Source organism: Homo sapiens, chromosome 2 (genome assembly GCF_000001405.40).
Source record: "Homo sapiens chromosome 2, GRCh38.p14 Primary Assembly".
NCBI classification, from domain to species: Eukaryota; Metazoa; Chordata; class Mammalia; order Primates; family Hominidae; genus Homo; species Homo sapiens.
In genome coordinates, this window is record NC_000002.12 from 68,891,729 (window position 1) to 68,909,632 (window position 17,904).

The 17,904-nt window shown below is 40.5% G+C and overlaps 7 annotated features.

Annotated features, from left to right (window-relative positions):
• Positions 15,977 to 17,176: an enhancer, noted in NCBI's record as "P300/CBP strongly-dependent group 1 enhancer chr2:69134837-69136036 (GRCh37/hg19 assembly coordinates)". NCBI's record gives its function as "activates an origin of replication core promoter dependent on BRD2, BRD4, P300/CBP, MED14 and CDK7 cofactors, with strong dependence on P300/CBP, by STARR-seq in HCT116 cells {active_cell/tissue: HCT116}" and the evidence as "EXISTENCE:reporter gene assay evidence [ECO:0000049][PMID:35650434]".
• Positions 15,977 to 17,548: a biological region, named in NCBI's record as "P300/CBP strongly-dependent group 1 enhancer GRCh37_chr2:69134837-69136036".
• Positions 16,494 to 17,020: an enhancer, noted in NCBI's record as "H3K27ac-H3K4me1 hESC enhancer chr2:69135354-69135880 (GRCh37/hg19 assembly coordinates)". NCBI's record gives its function as "activates a minimal SCP1, AML or CMV promoter by ChIP-STARR-seq in naive H9 embryonic stem cells {active_cell/tissue: H9 hESC(naive)}" and the evidence as "EXISTENCE:reporter gene assay evidence [ECO:0000049][PMID:30033119]".
• Positions 16,543 to 16,592: an enhancer, noted in NCBI's record as "active region_15965". NCBI's record gives its function as "activates an Ori minimal core promoter by ATAC-STARR-seq in GM12878 lymphoblastoid cells {active_cell/tissue: GM12878}" and the evidence as "EXISTENCE:reporter gene assay evidence [ECO:0000049][PMID:35858748]".
• Positions 16,623 to 16,742: an enhancer, noted in NCBI's record as "active region_15966". NCBI's record gives its function as "activates an Ori minimal core promoter by ATAC-STARR-seq in GM12878 lymphoblastoid cells {active_cell/tissue: GM12878}" and the evidence as "EXISTENCE:reporter gene assay evidence [ECO:0000049][PMID:35858748]".
• Positions 16,953 to 17,042: an enhancer, noted in NCBI's record as "active region_15967". NCBI's record gives its function as "activates an Ori minimal core promoter by ATAC-STARR-seq in GM12878 lymphoblastoid cells {active_cell/tissue: GM12878}" and the evidence as "EXISTENCE:reporter gene assay evidence [ECO:0000049][PMID:35858748]".
• Positions 17,021 to 17,548: an enhancer, noted in NCBI's record as "H3K27ac-H3K4me1 hESC enhancer chr2:69135881-69136408 (GRCh37/hg19 assembly coordinates)". NCBI's record gives its function as "activates a minimal SCP1, AML or CMV promoter by ChIP-STARR-seq in naive and primed H9 embryonic stem cells {active_cell/tissue: H9 hESC(naive and primed)}" and the evidence as "EXISTENCE:reporter gene assay evidence [ECO:0000049][PMID:30033119]".

Sequence of the window (17,904 nt, forward strand, 5' to 3'; positions counted from 1 at the left end):
ATCAGGTAGTGTGATGCCTCCAGATTTGTTCTTTTTGGTTAGTATTGCTTTGGCTATGCAGGCTCTTTTTTGGTTCCGTATGAATTTCAGAATGTTTTTTTCTAATTCTGTGAAGAATTATGGTGGTATTTGGATGGGGATTGTGTTGAATTTGTAGACTGCTTTTGGCAGTATGGTCATTTTCACAATATTGATTCTACCCATCCATGAGCATGGGATGTGTTTCCATTTGTTCGTGTCATCTATGATTTCTTTCAGCAGTGTTTCACAGTTTTCCTCATAGAGGTATTTCAACTCCTTGGTTAGGTATATTCCTAAGTATTTTATTTATTTTTTTGCAGCTATTGTAAAAGGGTTTGATTCTTTGCTTTGTCGCTGTTGGTGTACAGAGGAGCTACTGATTTGCGTACATCTTGTATCTGGAAACTTTGCTGAATTATTTTATCAATTCTAGGAGCTTTCTGGAGGAGTCCTTAGGGTTTCCAAGGTAAATGATCACGTCGTCAGCAAACAGTGACAGTTTAACTTCCTCTTTACGGATTTGGATGCCCTTTGTTTCTTTCTCTTGTCTGACTGCTCTGGCTAAGACTTCCAGTACTAAGTTGAAGAGGAGTGGTAAGAGTGGGCATCCTTGTCTTGTTCCAGTTCTCAGAGGGAATGCTTTCAACTTTTATTCATTCAGTATTATGTTGGCTGTGAGTTTGTCATAGATGTCTTTTATTACCTTAAGATATGTCCCTTGTATGCCAATTTTGCAGAGAGTTTTAATCGTAAAGGGATGCTGGATTTTGCCTAATGCTTTTTCTGCATCTATGGAGATGATCGTGTGGTTTTTGTTTTAATTCTGTTTGTGTGATGTATCACATTTACTGACTTGTGTATATTAAACCATCCCCGCATCTCTTGTATGAAACCCACTTGATCATGGTGGATTATCTTTTTCATATGTTGTTGGATTTGGCTAGCTAGTATGTTGTCAAGGATTTTAGCATCTGTGTTCATCAAGGATATCAGTCTGTAGTTTTCTTTTTTGGTTATGTCCTTTCCTGGTTTTGGTATTAGGGTGATGCTGGCTTCATAGAATGAATTAGGGAGGGTTCCTTCTTTCTCTATCTTGTGGAATAGTTTCAAAAGGATGGGTACCAATTCTTTGAATGTCTGGTAGAATTCTGCTGTGAATCTGGTCCTGGACTTTTTTTGTCAGTAATTTTATTGGTCTGTTCAGGGTATCTAATTCTTCCTGATTTAAGCTAGGAGGGTTGTATTTTTACAGGAATTTATCCATCCCTTCTAGGTTTTCTAGTTTATGTGCATAATGGTGTTCATAGTAGCCTTGAATGATCTTTTGTATTTCAGTGGTATCAGTTGTAATATCCTCTGTCTCGTTTCTTAGTGAGGTTTTTGGATTTTCTCTCTTCTTTTCTTGGTTAATCTTGCTAATGGTCTATCAATTTTATTTATCTTTTCAAAGAACCGGCTTTTTGTTTCATTTATGATTTGTATTTTTTTTGTTTTGTTTCAATTTCATTTAGTGCTGCTCTGATCTTGTTTATTTCCCTTCTTCTGCTGGATTTGGGTTTGGTTTGTCCTTGTTTCTCTAGTTTCTCTAGTTTCTTGAGGTGTGACCTTAGAATGTCAGTTTGTGCTCTTTCAGTCTTTTTGTTATAAGCATTTAGGGCTGTGAACTTTCCTCTTAGCACTGCCTTTGCTGTATCCCAGAGGTTTTGATAGGTTGTGTCACTATTGTCACACAGTTTGAAGAATTTTTTAATTTCCATCTTGATTTTGTTTTTGACCCAATGCTCATTCAGGATCAGGTTACTTAATTTCCATGTATTTGCATGGTTTTGAAGGTTCCTTTTGGAGTTGATTTCCAGTTTTATTCCACTGTGATCTGAGAGCATGCTTGATATAATTTCAATTTTCTTAAATTTATTGAGGCTCATTTTATGGCCTATCATATGGTCTATCTTGGAGAAAGTTCCATGCACTGTTGAATAGAATGTGTATTCTGCAGTTGTTGGATGAAATGTTCTGTATATATCTGTTAAGTCTATTTGCTCCAAGGTATAGTTTGAACCCATTGTTTCTTTGTTGACTTTCTGTCTTTATATCCTGCCTAGTGTTGTCAGTGGAGTATTAAAGTCCCCCAATATTATTGTGTTGCTGTCTGTCTCATTTCTTAGGTCTATTAGTAATTGTTTTATAAATTTGGGAGCTCCAGTGTTAGGTGCATATATGTTTGGGGTTGTGATATTTTCCTGTTGGACTAGTCCCTTTACCATTATATAATGTCCCTCTGTCTTTTTTAACTGCTGATGCTTTAAAGTTTGTTTTGTCTGATATAAGAATAGCTACCCCTGCTCCCTTTTGGTGTCTATTTGCATGAAATGCTTTTCCACCCTTTTACTTTAAGTTTAGGTGAGTTCTTATGTGTTAGGTGAGTCTCCTGAAGGCAGCAGATGGTTGGTTGATGAGTTCTTACCCATTCTGCAGTTCTGTATCTTTTAACTGGAGCATTGAGGCCATTTACATTCAATGTCAGTATTGAATTGTGAGGTACCGTTGCATTCATCATGCTCTTTGTTGCCTGTGTAGTTTGTTTTTTGTTTGTTTGTTTGTTTGTTTTTGAGACAGAGTCTCACTTTGTCACCCAGGCTGGAGTGCAGTGGCACAACCTCAGCTTGCTGCAGTCTCCACCTCCTGGGTTCAAGCAATTCTCCTGCCTCAGCCTCCCAAGTAGCTGGGATTACAGGCACCTGCCACCACAGCCAGCTAATTTTTTTGTATTTTTAGTAGAGACGGAGTTTCACCATGTTGACCAGGCTGGTTTTGAACTCCTGACCTCAAGTGATCTGCCCGCCTTGGCCTCCCAAAGCGCTGGGATTACAACAGGCATGAGCCACCATGCCCGGCCTGGTTTTTTGGGTTTTTTGTTTTTGATCTTTAACTTGTATTTTTGTTGTATAGGTCCTATGTGGTTTATGCTTTAAAGAGGTACTGTTTTGATGTGTTTCCAAGAGTTGTTTCAAGATTTAGAACTCCTTTTAGCAGTTCTTGTAGTGGTGGCTTTGTAATGGCAAATTCTCCCAGCATTTGTTTGTCTGAAAAAAACTGTATTTTTCCTTTATATATGATGCTTAGTTTAACTGAATATCAAATTCTTGGCTGATGATTGTTTTGTTTGAGGAGGCTGAAGACAGGGCCCCAATCCCTTCTAGCTTGCAGGATTTCTGCTAAGAAATCTGCTGTTGATCTGATAGGTTTTCCCTTATTGGTTACCTGGTGCTTCTGTCTCACAGCTCTTAAGATTCTTTCCTTCGTCTTAACTTTGGATAACCTGATGACAATGTGCCTAGGCAAAGATCTTTTTGTGATGAATTTCCCAGGTGTTCTTTGTGCATCTTGTATTTGGATGTCTAGGACTCTATGAGGCCAAGGAAGTTTTCCTCAATTATTCCCCCGAATATGTTTTCCAAGCTTTTAGAATTATCTTCTGCCTTAGGAACACCGATTATTCTTAGGTTTGGCCATTTAACATAATCCTAGACTTCTTGAAGGATTTGTTCATATTTTCTTTTCTTTTTTTTTTTTTTTTTTTTTTTTTTGAGACAAAGTCTCACTCTGTCTCCTAGGCTGCAGTGCAGTGGTGCGATCTTGGCTCACTGCAACCTCCACCTCCTGGGTTCAAGCGATTCTCGTGCTTCGGCCTCCCAAGTAGCTAGTATTACAGGTGCCCAACACCATACCCAGCTAGTTTTTGTATGTTTAGTGGAGATGGGGTTTCACCATGTTGGCCAGTCTGGTCGCAAACTCCTGACCTCAGGTGATCCACCTACCTCGACCTCCCAAAGTGCTTGGATTACAGGCATGAGCCACCATGCCCAGCTGTTCATATTTTCTTATTGTTTTTTCTTTGTCTTTGTTGGATTGGATTAATCTGAAGACCTTGTCTTTGAGCTCTGAATTTCTTTCTTCTACTTGTTCAGTTCTATTGCTGAGACTTTCCAGAGCATTTTGCATTTCTAAAAGTGTGTCCAACGTTTCCTGAACTTTTTGTTTTTTCTTTAAGCTATCTATTTCCTTGAATATTTCTTCCTTCACTTCTTGTATCATTTTTTGGATTTCCTTGCATTGGGCTTTACCTTTCTCTGGTCCCTCCCTGATTAGCTTAATAACTAACCTCCTGAATTCTTTTTCAGGTAAATCAGGGATTTCTTCTTGGTTTGGATCCATTGCTGGTGAACTAGTGTGATTTTTTTGGTGTGTTGAAGAACCTTGTTTTGTCATATTACCAGGGTTGATTTTCTGGTTCCTTCTCATTTGGGTAGTCTCTGTCAGAGGGAAGGTCTAGGGCTGAAGGCTGTTGTTCAGATTCTTCTGTCTCACAGGCTGTTCCCTTGATGTAGTACGATCCCCCTTTTCCTACGGATGTGGCTTCTTGTGAGCCAAACTGCAATGATTGTTGTCTCTTTTCTGGGTCTAGCCACCCAGCGAGTCTACCTGGCTCTGGGTTAGTACTGGGGGTTGTCTTTACAGAGTCCTGTGATGTGAACTGTCTATGGGTCTCTCAGCCTTGGATACCAGCGCCTGTTCCAGTGTAGGTGGTGGGAGCGTGGGGGTGGTGCAATGGACTCCGTGAGGGTTGTTAGCTTTGGTGGTTTAATGCTCTATTTTTGTGCTGGTTGTCCTCCTGTTAAGAGGTGGCGCTTTCCAGAGAGCATCACCTGTATTAGTATGGGGAGGAACCAGTGGTGGGTGGGGCCCTAGAACTCCCAAGACTATATGCTCTTTGTCTTCCTCTACAAGGTGGGTAGGGAAGGACCATCAGGTGGGGGCAGAGCAAGGCATGTCTGAGTTCAGACTGTCCTTGGGTGGGTCTTGCTGCAGCTGCTGTGGGGGTTGGGGGTGAGATTCCCAGTTCACTGGAGTTGTGTACCTAGGAGGACTATGGTTGCCTCTGCTGATTCATGCAGGTTGTCAAGGAAGTGGGGGAAAGCTGGCAATCAAAGGCCTCACCCAGCTCCCATGCAAACCAAAGGGTCGGTCCATTCCCTCTGTGCCCCCACCAAGAGCCCCGGGTCCGTTTCCAGGCAGAGGGCAAGACGAGCTTGAAAACCAGGCTACGTGCCTCGTAGCTGTGAAAGAAAAGGGTTTGTGTCTTCCCCTGCCTGTGGAGACTGCACACCAGATTTGTACCCTCCCACAAGTTCTGGCCAGGAGGCTTCTCACCCCATTCAAATGTTTACAAAGTTCAGCTAGAGATTTCCTTCTATTCTCCCTGTGGAGTTTTTTTTGTTGCTGTTTTTGTTTTTGTTTTTTGTTTTTTGTTTTTTTGATGGAGTCTTGCTCTGTCGCCCAGGCTGGAGTGCAGTGGCGCAATCTTGGCTCACTGCAAGCTCCACCTCCCGGGTTCATGCCATTCTCCTGCCTCAGCCTCCTCAGTAGCTGGGATTACAGGCACCAGCCACCACGCCCGGCTATTTTTTTTTTGTATTTTTTAGTAGAGATGGGGTTTCATCGTGTTAGCCAGGATGGTCCCGATCTCCTGACCTCATGATCCGCCCGCCTCGGCCTCCCAAAGTGCTGGGATTACAGGTGTGAGCCACCGCACCTGGCCCTCCCTGTGGAGTTTAACCTGGCTCTCTGGCCTCCCTCCCATTGGATCCCTGTGGTTCCAGAGAGGAATGGCCTACTAGGGGACCCAGCAAGCTCCCAGGGCCTTTCTGCTGCTTCCTCTACCCCTGTATTTTGCTTGGCTTCCCAAATTGACTCAGCTCCAGGCAAAGTCGGAAACTTCTCTCCCAAAGAGACCTTCAGTTTCTCCAGTGGGGGTGTGTGTTTGGGAGAGAAGAGTCTCCCTTTCCCACTTCCACATTTGGGGCACTCACAGTATTTGGGGGTTCTCCCAGATCCTGCAGGAGCAGTCTGCTTCCTTTGGAGGGTCTGTGAGTCCTCTTGGGATTGATGATTTGCTCTTGCAGTTGATCTGGAGCTAAAATTCACAATGCGAGCCTCCGCATGCTGCTCTGTCTGGAGCTACAATCTAGTCCTGCTTCCTGTCCACCATGATCATCTGAGTTTTAGGTATCCTTTCTGCAGAATCGCTTCTGTCATTTCACAGTCAGGTCATTGCAGCTTGTTGAGACTGTCTTTGAACAAAGATTCTCTACTTCAGAACACCTTTTGGTGCAAAACTTTCAGGATATTAGTTTCAGATTTATTCCCTTTAACTCTAAGCCACTCAAAATAGTCACCACTGTAGACATTCACAAGTGCTATGGTAGAAGAGCTCTCCTCTCCTTTATCTTGCAAAATATCAATAAATGAGCTCCTTCTAGTCTCTTTCTTTCCCTTCCTGAGCAACATAATATTTCCCGAAATCCATTAGGTGGGGCACTGCTAAGTAGATACCCATGCCAGGGAGGATAATGTGAGAGTAGGAATCATTGTTGCCCAGTATATTAGTCCATTCTTGCATTACTATAAAGAAATACCTAAGGCTGGGTAATTTATTAAGAAAAGAGGTTTAATTGACTCACAGTTCTGCAGACTTTACAAGCATGTGCTAGCCTCTGCTCAGCTTCTGGGGAGGCCCCAGGGAGCATAGCAGGAGGTGAAGCAGGAGCAGGCACATCACATGGTCAAGCAGGTGTAATGCAAAGAGAGGTGTCATACTATCACAAGGACATAACCAAGCTATGAAAAATCGGCCCCCATGACCCAAACACCTGCCACCAGGCTCCCCTTCCAGCATTGGTGATTACAATTCATCATGAGATTTAGAGGGGACAACAACCAAACTATATCACCGAAGGCAGGGTGTCAGGATCTAAGCAGGCAAGGAGGGTGTCCGTATGGTAAGGAGAGGGCCATGGCTAGGGTGGGCAAGCAGAGCCTGAGTGTGGTAAGGGAGGGCATCCACACAGGGGAAGGGGCGATGGTGGCCATGGGAAATTGGTGGCATGCAGGATGACTGAGCAAATAAATAAATATATGAAGGATAACAGGAGCCTGGTTTCTCACTGTCAGAGAAAGGAGTTACAAATATGGAAAATGAGAAACTAAAATGAACCCTAGTATTAAATTTAAATTGAATGGGCTGAGCACAGTTGTTCACACCTATAATCCCAGCACTTTGGGAGGGCAAGGCAGGAGGATGACTTGAACCCAGCAGTTTGAGACCAACCTAGGCAACACAGTGAGACCCTATCTCAGTAAATAAAAAAGAAAAAAGAAATAAGTAAATTGAAGATCCTGGTGTAAGCTGAGGTTTTCATTAGATAGATAGACATGAGATGTATATAATAAATTGATAAGTTAAATACATTATGCAGCATATTTCCATCTATGTCTTTCTATTTCTACATATATTGGTGCATATGTATATGCATACACATATTCCCTAGCTCTGTCCACTGAGAAGGCCTAGGGCAGACCTCCTCCAATAGCAATGAGCACATATTGAGCTCAGATCCTGGCTTCTGAATACTATTCTCTTATAAAAGGAATCATTGCTACTTGAAGAAACGGCTGATTGCAGGATCAGGGCAGGAAAATTATAAGATCAACCTGGAATATCTTGTGCCCAGCAGTAGGAAGTACTCAACGCATAACAAGAGCATATCTATAGGACACAGAAGTCAGTGTGAGGCAATCCTCTGGGCAAATCAGGAACAATCTGAGCATCAAAATGAAAAATAATAGTAATGGATTACTACCCACTGAATTGAATAGGATGCCAAGTCCATGCTGATATAAATAAAATAAATGAATAAATTGAACATTTGATGAGAAATGGAATATTTACATAGTTCCCAAGTATCTCTCAACAAAATTCTTAGTAAGTGCAAAGGGAAAAGAGTAGCTACAGTGGAAAAGCTTGGCAGAAGCCACCCTAGTCAAGTGATCCGAGTGGGCAGAAACAGTGTTAGGACAAAACAAAATCATGGGCCACCTGATGGGAGGCAACAAGAAGAACACAGCAACACTTTAGTGCTATTTCTGACAAGGATGAATCCAACCTGAATGACAGCTGGAATCCAACCATAAGGATGCATCAACTAAACTGTAAACTCAGGGACATTCCACTAAATAACTAGCGTGTAATCTAGTGTTAAGATCATTAAAATAAAGGAAAGACTGAGGAAGTGTTCCAAGCTGGAAGGGACTAAAGAAGCATGACAACCAAATAACTCATGATTCTGAACTGGCTCCTTTTTCTATAAAGAACATTAATAGGATAGTTGGCAAAACTTGATCAGGGGCTTACAGATTATATGGCAACAATGTACCAATGTCCGTTTCCTGATTGTGCTGGCTGTTCTGTGGTTATCTAGAAAAATATCCTGGTTTATAGAAAATACAAAAAAGGATTCAGGAGGAAGAGGAGGCAGGGCAAGATGGCTGAATAGAACCATCCAGCAATCATGCCTCCCTTAGGAACATCAAATTGAACGACTGTTTAACAAGAAACATTCAATAGGAACCGAAAAAAAAAAAAAAAGAGATGAGCGATCACAGTACCTGGTTTTAACATAATAACAAGGAACGACACATTGAAGAGTGTAGGAAGGACAGTCTTTCATTGCCTACACCACCCTTGCCCCAACCCCAGGCAGTGCAGTGCAGAGAGAATCTGTATGTTTGGGGGAAGGACAGCAAGGTGATTGTAGGAATTTGCATTGAAACTCCATGTTGCACTGTCATGAAGAAACACAACACTGGGCAGAAGTCCACCAGTGCCCATGGAGGAAGCATTTAGACCAGCACTCGGCCAGAGGGAAATCCTCTGCCCCAGAAGGAGGAAACCGAGTCCTAACTAGCTTCACCACCAACTGACTAAAGTGGCCTGGGGCTCCAAATAAATTTAAGTGACAGTCATGCCAAAAGAACTGAAGTTCTTGGGCAAACCCTGGTGCTTCACTATTCTTGGAGGCTGTGGGTTTGCGGCGCCACCCTGTGCAACACCAGCTGCAGTGACCAGGGAAGTTCCTGCCTCAACCCTCCCCTAACTCCAGGCAGTGGAGGATGGAGAGAGACTCCTCCTGCTTAGGGGAAGGAGAGAGAAGATTACAGAGGACTTTGTTTTGTAACTGAGTACCAGCTCAGCCACAGTAAAGCACTGGTGGAATCCTGAAGCCTCCTACCCCAGGCCTTTGCTCCCAGAGCATTTCTAGGCTTACCTCAGGCCAGAAGGGAATCTGCTGTCCAGGTGGGATGGACTGAGGTCCAACAGGATTCACAACCTGCTGACTAAAATTGCCTTGGATCTTGAATAAACATCAGCAACAGCCAGGCAGTAGCAGGTATGGGCCTTGGATGAGCCTCAGTACTGTGCTGTTCTAGGAGAAAGTGGGCTTCAGGCACAACCCAGAGTGGTGCTAACTATGGTAGCTACAGAAGCGCCTGTGTCAACTTTCCCTAAATTCCAAGCAGTCCAGCATAGAGAGAGACTCCTTCTTGGGGCAAAGAGAGGGAAGAGAGTGATGGACTTTGCCTGGGAACCCAGGGAATTTTCTAACTTCCCCAAGTCCACCAAGGCTGTGTGAGTCTGCAAGAGTTGCAGCATACCTGGGCTTAGGGTGTCCTCTAGTGCTAAACGGGCTGAAATGCTGAAGTGATCACAGGCTTAGGTAAAAACACTCAATCCCCTTTGAATTCTTGGAAAGCCTTCTCACAAAGAATGAATACAAACAAGGCCAGCCTGCAAAGACTGGAATAAACACCTAACTCGTCAATGCTCAGACGTTGACGAATGTCCACAAGCATCAGGAACATCCAGGAAAATGTGACATCATCAAACAATCTGAACAAGGCACCAGTTATCAATCCTGGAGTGACAGATATGTAACCTCTGAGACAGTGAATTCAAAATGGAGGTCTTGATGAAGCTCAATTAGCTTCAAGTTAACAGAGAAAAAGCTCAGAGTTCTATCAGAGAAATTTAACAAGGAGATTGAAATAATTTTTAAAATCAAACAGGAATCCTGGAGCTAAAAAATTCAATTGACCAACTGCAAAGTGCATCAGAGTGTCTCAACAGCAGAACTGATCAAGCAGAAGAAATAATTGGTGAGCTTGAAGACAGGCTATTTGAAAATATGCAGTCAGAGAAGAAAAATGAATTAAAATACATCTACGAGATCTACAAAATAACCTCAAAATGAAATATCAAGATTTGTTGGCCTCAAAGAGGATGTAGGCAGAATGTAAGATGTAAGAGATAAAGGCAGAAAGTTATTCAACGAAATAGTAACAGAGAAGTTTCCAAATAAACATATGGAAAAAAACATTCCGTGCAAATGAAATCCCACCTGCCCACCCCCCCCAAAAAAAGAAAAGAAAATAGCAGGAGTAACTATGGTTATCTCAGATAAAACAGATTTTACGATAACTATGGTAATCTCAGATAAAAGAGATTTTAAGGAAAAACTGTGAAAGAAAGCTATTATATAATGGTAAAGGAATCAATTCAGCAAGAAGATATAACAATTGTAAACATATAGGCACCTGATGCTGGAGCATACAGATATAGAAACCAAATATTATTAGAGCTAAAGAGAGAGATAGACCCCAATACAATAATGGTTGGGGACTTCAACACCCCACTTTCAGCATTGGACAGATCATCTAGACAGAAAATCAACAAAGAAATATTGGACTTAATCTGTACTATAGACCAAATGTTCCTAACAAACATTTATATAACATTTCATTCAACAGCTGCAGAATACACATTCTTCTCCTCAGGACATGGAACAGTCTCAAAAATAGATCATATGTTAAGCCACAATACAAGTCTCAAAATTTTTTTTAAAAATTGGAATCATATCAAGTATCTTTTCTAACCACAAAGAAATAAAACTAGAAATCCATAACAACAGGAATCTTGGAAACTATACTAATATGAAATTAAACAACATGCTCCTGAATGATCAATGGGTCAATGCAGAAATTAAGAAGGACATTTTAAAATTTCTTAAAACAATGAAAGTGGAAATAAAACATCCCCCAATCTATGGGATACAGCAAAAGCAGTACTAAGAAAGAAGTTTATAGTACCTATATCAAAAAAGTAGATAATAAGTACCTATATCAAAAAAGGAGAAAGTTTAAATAAACAACCTAATGATGAACCTCAAGGAACTAGAAAAGCAAGAACAAATCAAACCCAAAGTTAGTAAGAGGAAAGAAATAATAAAGGTCAGAGCAGAAATAAATAAAATTGAGACTAAAAAATCAATACAGAAGATCAATGAAATAAAAAGTTGGTATTTGGAAAAAAATAAACAAAATTGACAAACATTTAGTAAGCAAAGAAAAAAGAGAGAAGATCTAAATAAATAAAATCAGAAATTTAAAAAAAAGGAAACACCAACTGAAACCATAGAAATACAAAGAATCATTAGAGACTATTATGAACAAGTGTACACCAAGGAACTGGAAAATCTAGAAGAAATGCATAAATTCCTAGACACATAAAACCTAACAATATTGAACCATGAAGAAATACAAAGCCTGAAAAAACCAATAACAAGTAATGAGCTAGAAACAGTAATAAAAACTCTCCCATCAAAGAAAAACCCAGGACAGGATGGATTCACAGCTGCATTCTACCAAATATTTAAAGAATTAATAACAAACCTACTCAAACAATTCCTAAAAAACCAAGGAGGACAGAACACTTCCAAATTCAGTCTATAAGGCCAGCATTACCCTGATACCAAAACCACACAAAGACACAACAAAAGAAAAAGAAAACTATATGTCAATATCTCTGATGAACATAGATGTAAAAATCCTCAATAAAATACTCGGAAACCAAATTCAATGTCAATATCTCTGATTAACATTGATGTAAAAATCCTCAATAAAATACTAGGAAATCAAATTCAACAACACAATAAAAAGATGGGGTGCAAAGATCGTTCAACATGTGCAAATCAGTAAACATGATATATTAACAGAATGAAGGACAAAAACGACATGATCATTTTAATAGATATCAAAATGGCATTTAATAAAATTCAGCATCCCTTCATGATAAAAATTATCTCAACAAACTGGGTGTAAAAGTAACATATCTCAACATAATAAAGACCATATACAAGAAACCCACAGCTGGCATCATACTTAATGGGAAAAACTGAAATATTTTTCTCTAAGATATAGACAAGACAAGGATGCCCACTTTTACCACTTTTCTTGAACACAGAATGGAAAGCCCTAGTGAGAGCAATTAAACAAGAAGAGGAAATAAAGGGCATCGAAATTAGGAAGGAAGAATTCAAATTATTCTTGTTTGCACATGATATAATCTTATATTTAGAAAAACCTAAAGACTCAACTAAATAAACCATTAGAACTGATAAATAAATTCAGTAAAGCTGCAGGACACAAAAAAGACAAAAAATCAATAGCATTTCTATATGCCAACAGCAAACAATCTGAAAAAGAAACCAAGAAAGCAATCCTATTAACAATAGCTGCAAAAAAAAAAAAAAAAAAAAAAAAAGAAAAAACCAAACAAACAACAAACCTAGAAATAAACTTAACCAAAGCAGTGGAAGATCTCTACAGTGAAAACTGTAAAACATTGATGAAAGTTATTAAAAAGGACACACAAAAACAGAAAGACAGCCCCCATGTTCATGGATTAGAACAATCAATATTGTTAAAATGTCCATAGTACCCAAAGTGATCGGCAGATTCAATACAATCCCTATCAAAATGCCAATGACATTCGTCATGAAAATAGAAAAAAAAAATCCTAAAATTTGTATGGAACTACAAAAGACCCTGAGTAGACAAAGTAATCCTGAGCAAAAAGAACAAAGTTGGAGGCATCACATTACCTGACTTCAAATTATGCTACAAAGCTACAGTAACAAAACCAGCATGGTACTGGCATAAAAGCAGACACATAGACCAATGGAACAGAACAGAGAACCCAGAAATAATCTACACATTTACATACAAACAAACAAGTTTGTTTTTGATAAAGGCACCAAGAACATGCATTGGGGAAAGGAGAGTCTCTTCTGCAAATAGTATTGGAAAAATTGGATATCAATGCGCAGAAGAATGAAACTAGATTCTCATCTCTTACTATGTATGAAAATCAAACCAAAATGGATTAAATACTTAATGTAAGACCTGAAACTATGAAACTACTAGAAGGAAACATCAGGGAAATACTTCAGGACATTGATCTGGGTAACGATTTTTTGAGTAAGAACTCAAAAGCACAGACAACTAAAGCAAAAAATGGACAAATGGGATCACAACAAGCTAAAAAGTTTCTGCACAGCAAAAGAAACAATCAACAAAGAAGCAGCCTACCGAATGGGAGAAAATATTTGCAAACTATTTAACTGACAAGGGATTAATAACCAGATATATAAGAAACCCAAACAACTCAATAGCAAAAAATAAAATAATCTGATTAAAAACAGGCAAAATATCTGAATAGACATTTCTTAAAAAGAAGACTTACAAATGGCCGAGAGGTATATGAAAAAATGTTTAACATTACTAATCATCAGAAAAATGCAATTCAAAACCACATGAGATATAATCTCACTCCAGTTAAAATGCCTTTTATAAAAAATAAATAAATAAAGATTCTGACAAGGATGCCAAGAAATGGGAATACTCATACACTGTTGGTGGGAATGTGAATTAATACAGTATAAAAACAGTATGGAGCTTCCTCAAGAAACTAAAATGAGAGCTCCCATATGATCCAACAGTCCCACTGTTGGGTATATATTGAAAAGAAACGAAATCAGTATATTGAAGAGATATCTGCACTCCCATGTTTATTGTAGCAGTATTCACAATAGCCAAGGTATGGAATTAATCTAAGGGTGCGTCAGTGGATGACTGGATCAAGAAAATGTAGCACATACACCCAGTGGAATATTATTCCACCATAAAAAAGAATGAAATCCTGTTATTTGTAACAACATGAATGGAACAGGAGGACATCTTAAGTAAAATAAGCCAGACATAGAAAGAAATATCACATGTTCTCACTCATAGTTAGGATCTAAAAAAAAATTGATCTTGTGGAAGTAGGGAGTAGAATGATGGCTACCAGAGGCTGGGAAGGGTAGTGGACAGGTGAAGATAAAAAGGGGTTCAGTAATAGGAACAAAAATGCAGTTAAATAGTAGAAATAAGATCTAGAGTTCAATAGCATATTAGGGAGGGTACAGTTAACAATAATTTATTGTATATTTCAAAATAACTAGAGGAATAGATTTGGAATGTTCCCAGTATAGGGAAATAATAAATTCTTGAGGTAATGGATATCCCAGTTACCCTGATTCAATGGTTACACATTGCATACATGTGTCAAAATATCACATGTTCCTCATAAATATGTACAACTATTATGTATTTATAAAAATTAAAAATATTCAGGAATAATGGCTGTCAAAATGCCAATTTATACTCACAAGGGTAAGGAAAATAAAGCTCTTCTACTTGCAACTTTTGTATAACTTTGTAATTGTGTCAAAACAAAAATAAATTATACATAATTATTATGGAACTGGTGCCCATTTGTTTACAAAATGTACAATATATTCTACTTCATATATTATTTCTTCCAATACATTGTTCCTACCAAATGAGACCATTAGAAAGGAATGTTAATTTTTTTTTTTTTTAAGACAGTGTCTTGCTCTGTCACCCAGGCTGGAGTGCAGTGGTGCAATCTTGGCTCACTGCAACCTCCGCCTCCCAGGTTCAAGTGATTCTCATGCTTCAGCCTCCCGAGTAGCTGCGCCACCATGCCCAGCTAATTTTTGTATTTTTAGTAGAGACAGGACTTCACCATGTTGGCCAGGCTGGTCTCAAATTCCTGGCCTCAAGCAATTAGACCACCTCAGCTTCCCAAAGTTCTGGGATTAGAGGCATGAGCCACTGCCCCCAGCCAGAATGTTACTTTATTTGATCAAAATTGCATTTTTACTTTGAACAATAAAAGCCCCTACTTAGTGATTATTCCAGCACTTATCTTTCTTAACTAAGTAATGAGAAGTGATGACACTAAATTTACCAGCAAGCTGTTTAGTTTCTAAAATTAAATACCCTAACGGAAGCTAACTACCTCTGCTGCTCAGTTTTTGACTTAATTCAGTGAGCAAATTGGAGTAGACTTCCTGGTCAGGTGACATCATTGATATGAGAACAAGTTGGAACTGTTACTGGCCCCCCTGAGAATCTTTTTCTCTATGGCAGTTGATGCTGAAAATCTGTGGGGTGCGTGTGCGTGTGTGTGTGTGTGCAGGGTGGTTGTACAGGAGGAAGGGGTGGTATGGGGGCCCAGCAAGGGCAGGCATTTGCTAATGCATTCTAGCTCTCACCTTCTCAAAAAAAATTTTTTTTATAATTTTTTTTTAAAATTTTTTAAAAATTTTTTATAATTTTTATGAGATCTGAATTCCCAAATGCAAGATACAGAGCAGCTCTCAAACTTTTATAATGAGATTTGAATTCCCAAATGCAAGATACAGAGCAGCTCTCAAACTTAAGTTCTGAGTTTTCTAATCCAATAATATAATTTCATAATACTAACTTTGATAATACAACTGTATAGAATGACTCAGCATCAATTATTGAATCAGAATTTGAGTAAGCTGCAAAATTTATCTAAGTTTCCTCACACTTAAATTAATAACCATAATAATGATAATTCAATGAGATAAGATAAGAGGCTAGCATGGGGTTAGATTCATAGGAAACGGTCAATAAATTGTGACTCATGATTATTTGGTTTGAAAGGAGGCACAGAAACAATAGCTATGTGGCCTTCAATAAACTATATAACCTCTCTGATTCTCTTTTTTAATGCACAACTCATATTTAATATTCTATCCAAGGTCATTCTCCTCTCCTGCTGGAGGCTAACTTGATCACCTTAATAGCTTGGGGTTGAGGGTGCGACAGAATGGTCTATCTCATCATCGCCTTCCCCTCTGTTGTCCTGGGTTAGCTGCTCATAAGGAGGGCAGTGTTAGACATGAGGGAGGCAGGTGACTCAGATGCATGCCTTCAATGAATGGAGCTAGGCAACAAGGTATGGACCAGACACTGAATCAAGCCAGACAGAGTCAAAGGGAGTATTTGAGATGAAAGGTGTCAAGTACGTGTTGTGCAGGGCCTCGGAGTGATTCCTACATTAAGAAAGTAGCTGTGGAAACTTTACCCATCCCAATTCCAGCTCCTGAAGGTGGGGCTGGCAGGGGACTTAGAGAAGCAGCCATGGGTAGATACCATGGGTGGCTGCTGAGGGGAGGCACAGAGCTTTCCCCAGCGGAAGTAGGCTTTGATAAACTCTGGAGTGCTTCTAAGGAGCTGGTAATTTTATCTCTGGAGGTCCAGGACCTCTTCAGTCATACACCTGAGTCCGTTTTGGATCATTGAGGTGGTTTTCTGAGGGATGGTGTGGAGAGTCGGATGGGGTGACCTCTGAGCTTCAGTGCATCACAAGCAGCGGCCTTCTAACCTCAGATCTGAGGTCTTCTTCTTCAAGGCACAATTTATGCAGAGCTGCTTCCTGAAGGGTGGAAATAAACATCCCTCCAGCGACCCCACGCCACCATACTGGTACAGGTGAATCCAGGTTCTGTGTGTTTAAAAGGAAAAGAATTCACAAAAGACAAAAGAGCGTGTACAAGTATGTGGAATGGGTGAAGGAAGCTTCTCCCCTGCTCATCTGTGAGCCTGTGTGTGTGTATATGCAAACCTCTGATCTGTGTGCAGCCACTTCTCCCTCCCCTCCGCAGGTGTCCCTGAGTCACAGCCCTTCCTTCTCAAAGAATTGCCCCAATTTGCCTTATAAGGCAACACTGAGGCTTCTAATTTCTCTTCAAGCTAACGGAAGTAAAATAGCAGGTGCCAAGAGGCGTGGCCCAGGGTCACATTGCCAGAGTGACTCAGCAAGAATCATTTTGGAAAGCAAGCCCCAGTGTGGCTGCTCATTCTTCAGCAGCCTTTCCTTGATAGATACCGGAGGTTTGCCCTGTGCTGCCTGCTGCTCCCTGGAGCTGCCTGGCAATTGTCCCCAACTTGCTTGCCTGCTCTGCCCATGCCCTGGAGTCAACAGACAATAATACCCTGCCCCTTGGAGAACCTTCAGGAGGCTCCTTGTGGGTGTCCCAGTAGGAGCCAGGAGAGGTGTGGTGGGCATGCCCTTGACATCTCATCCATCAACCCACCAAACTATTCCCAGAAGGCCCAGCCTGCTTCGGAAGACCCATCAGCTAGCTCAACCCCAGGCACCTCATTCTGGAAACAATAACCTTGTTTGCCTCCATTTCCCCACCTCTGACTAATGAAAATTATTACCCCAGCGAAGGGGATGGACTGGAGGGGAAAACTGGGGTCCTGGATACCAGTCAGAAGTGAGATGGAGATGATATTGGGAGGAGAGGAAAGATAGATGTGAGATACACCATGAAGGACAATGACAAGGCTTGATGACTAACTACACAGAGATGACAGGCACATGGAGGCTGAGGCCAGGATTCTGAACATGGGGATAATGGTCCTGCACCCATTTTCCAGCCATTGCTTTGGATTTCATTTCCACTTGTTTTTTATTCCTTTTGGATAGCGTAGAAAAGAGTAACCTTGATACAAGAGGACATGGGCTCTGTGTCCTCCTTGTAGAGAAGTCGTCCCACTTCCAAGGGCTTCACTTTGTCATCTATAAAATGGGGAGAGAGGCCAGGTGCGGTGGCTCATGCCTGTAATCCCAACACTTTGGGAGGCCGAGATGGGTGGATCACCTGAGGTCAGGATTTTTGAGACCAGCCTGGCCAACATGGTGAAACCCTGTCTCTATTTAAAAATACAAAAATTAGCCGGGCATGGTTGTGAGCCCCTGTA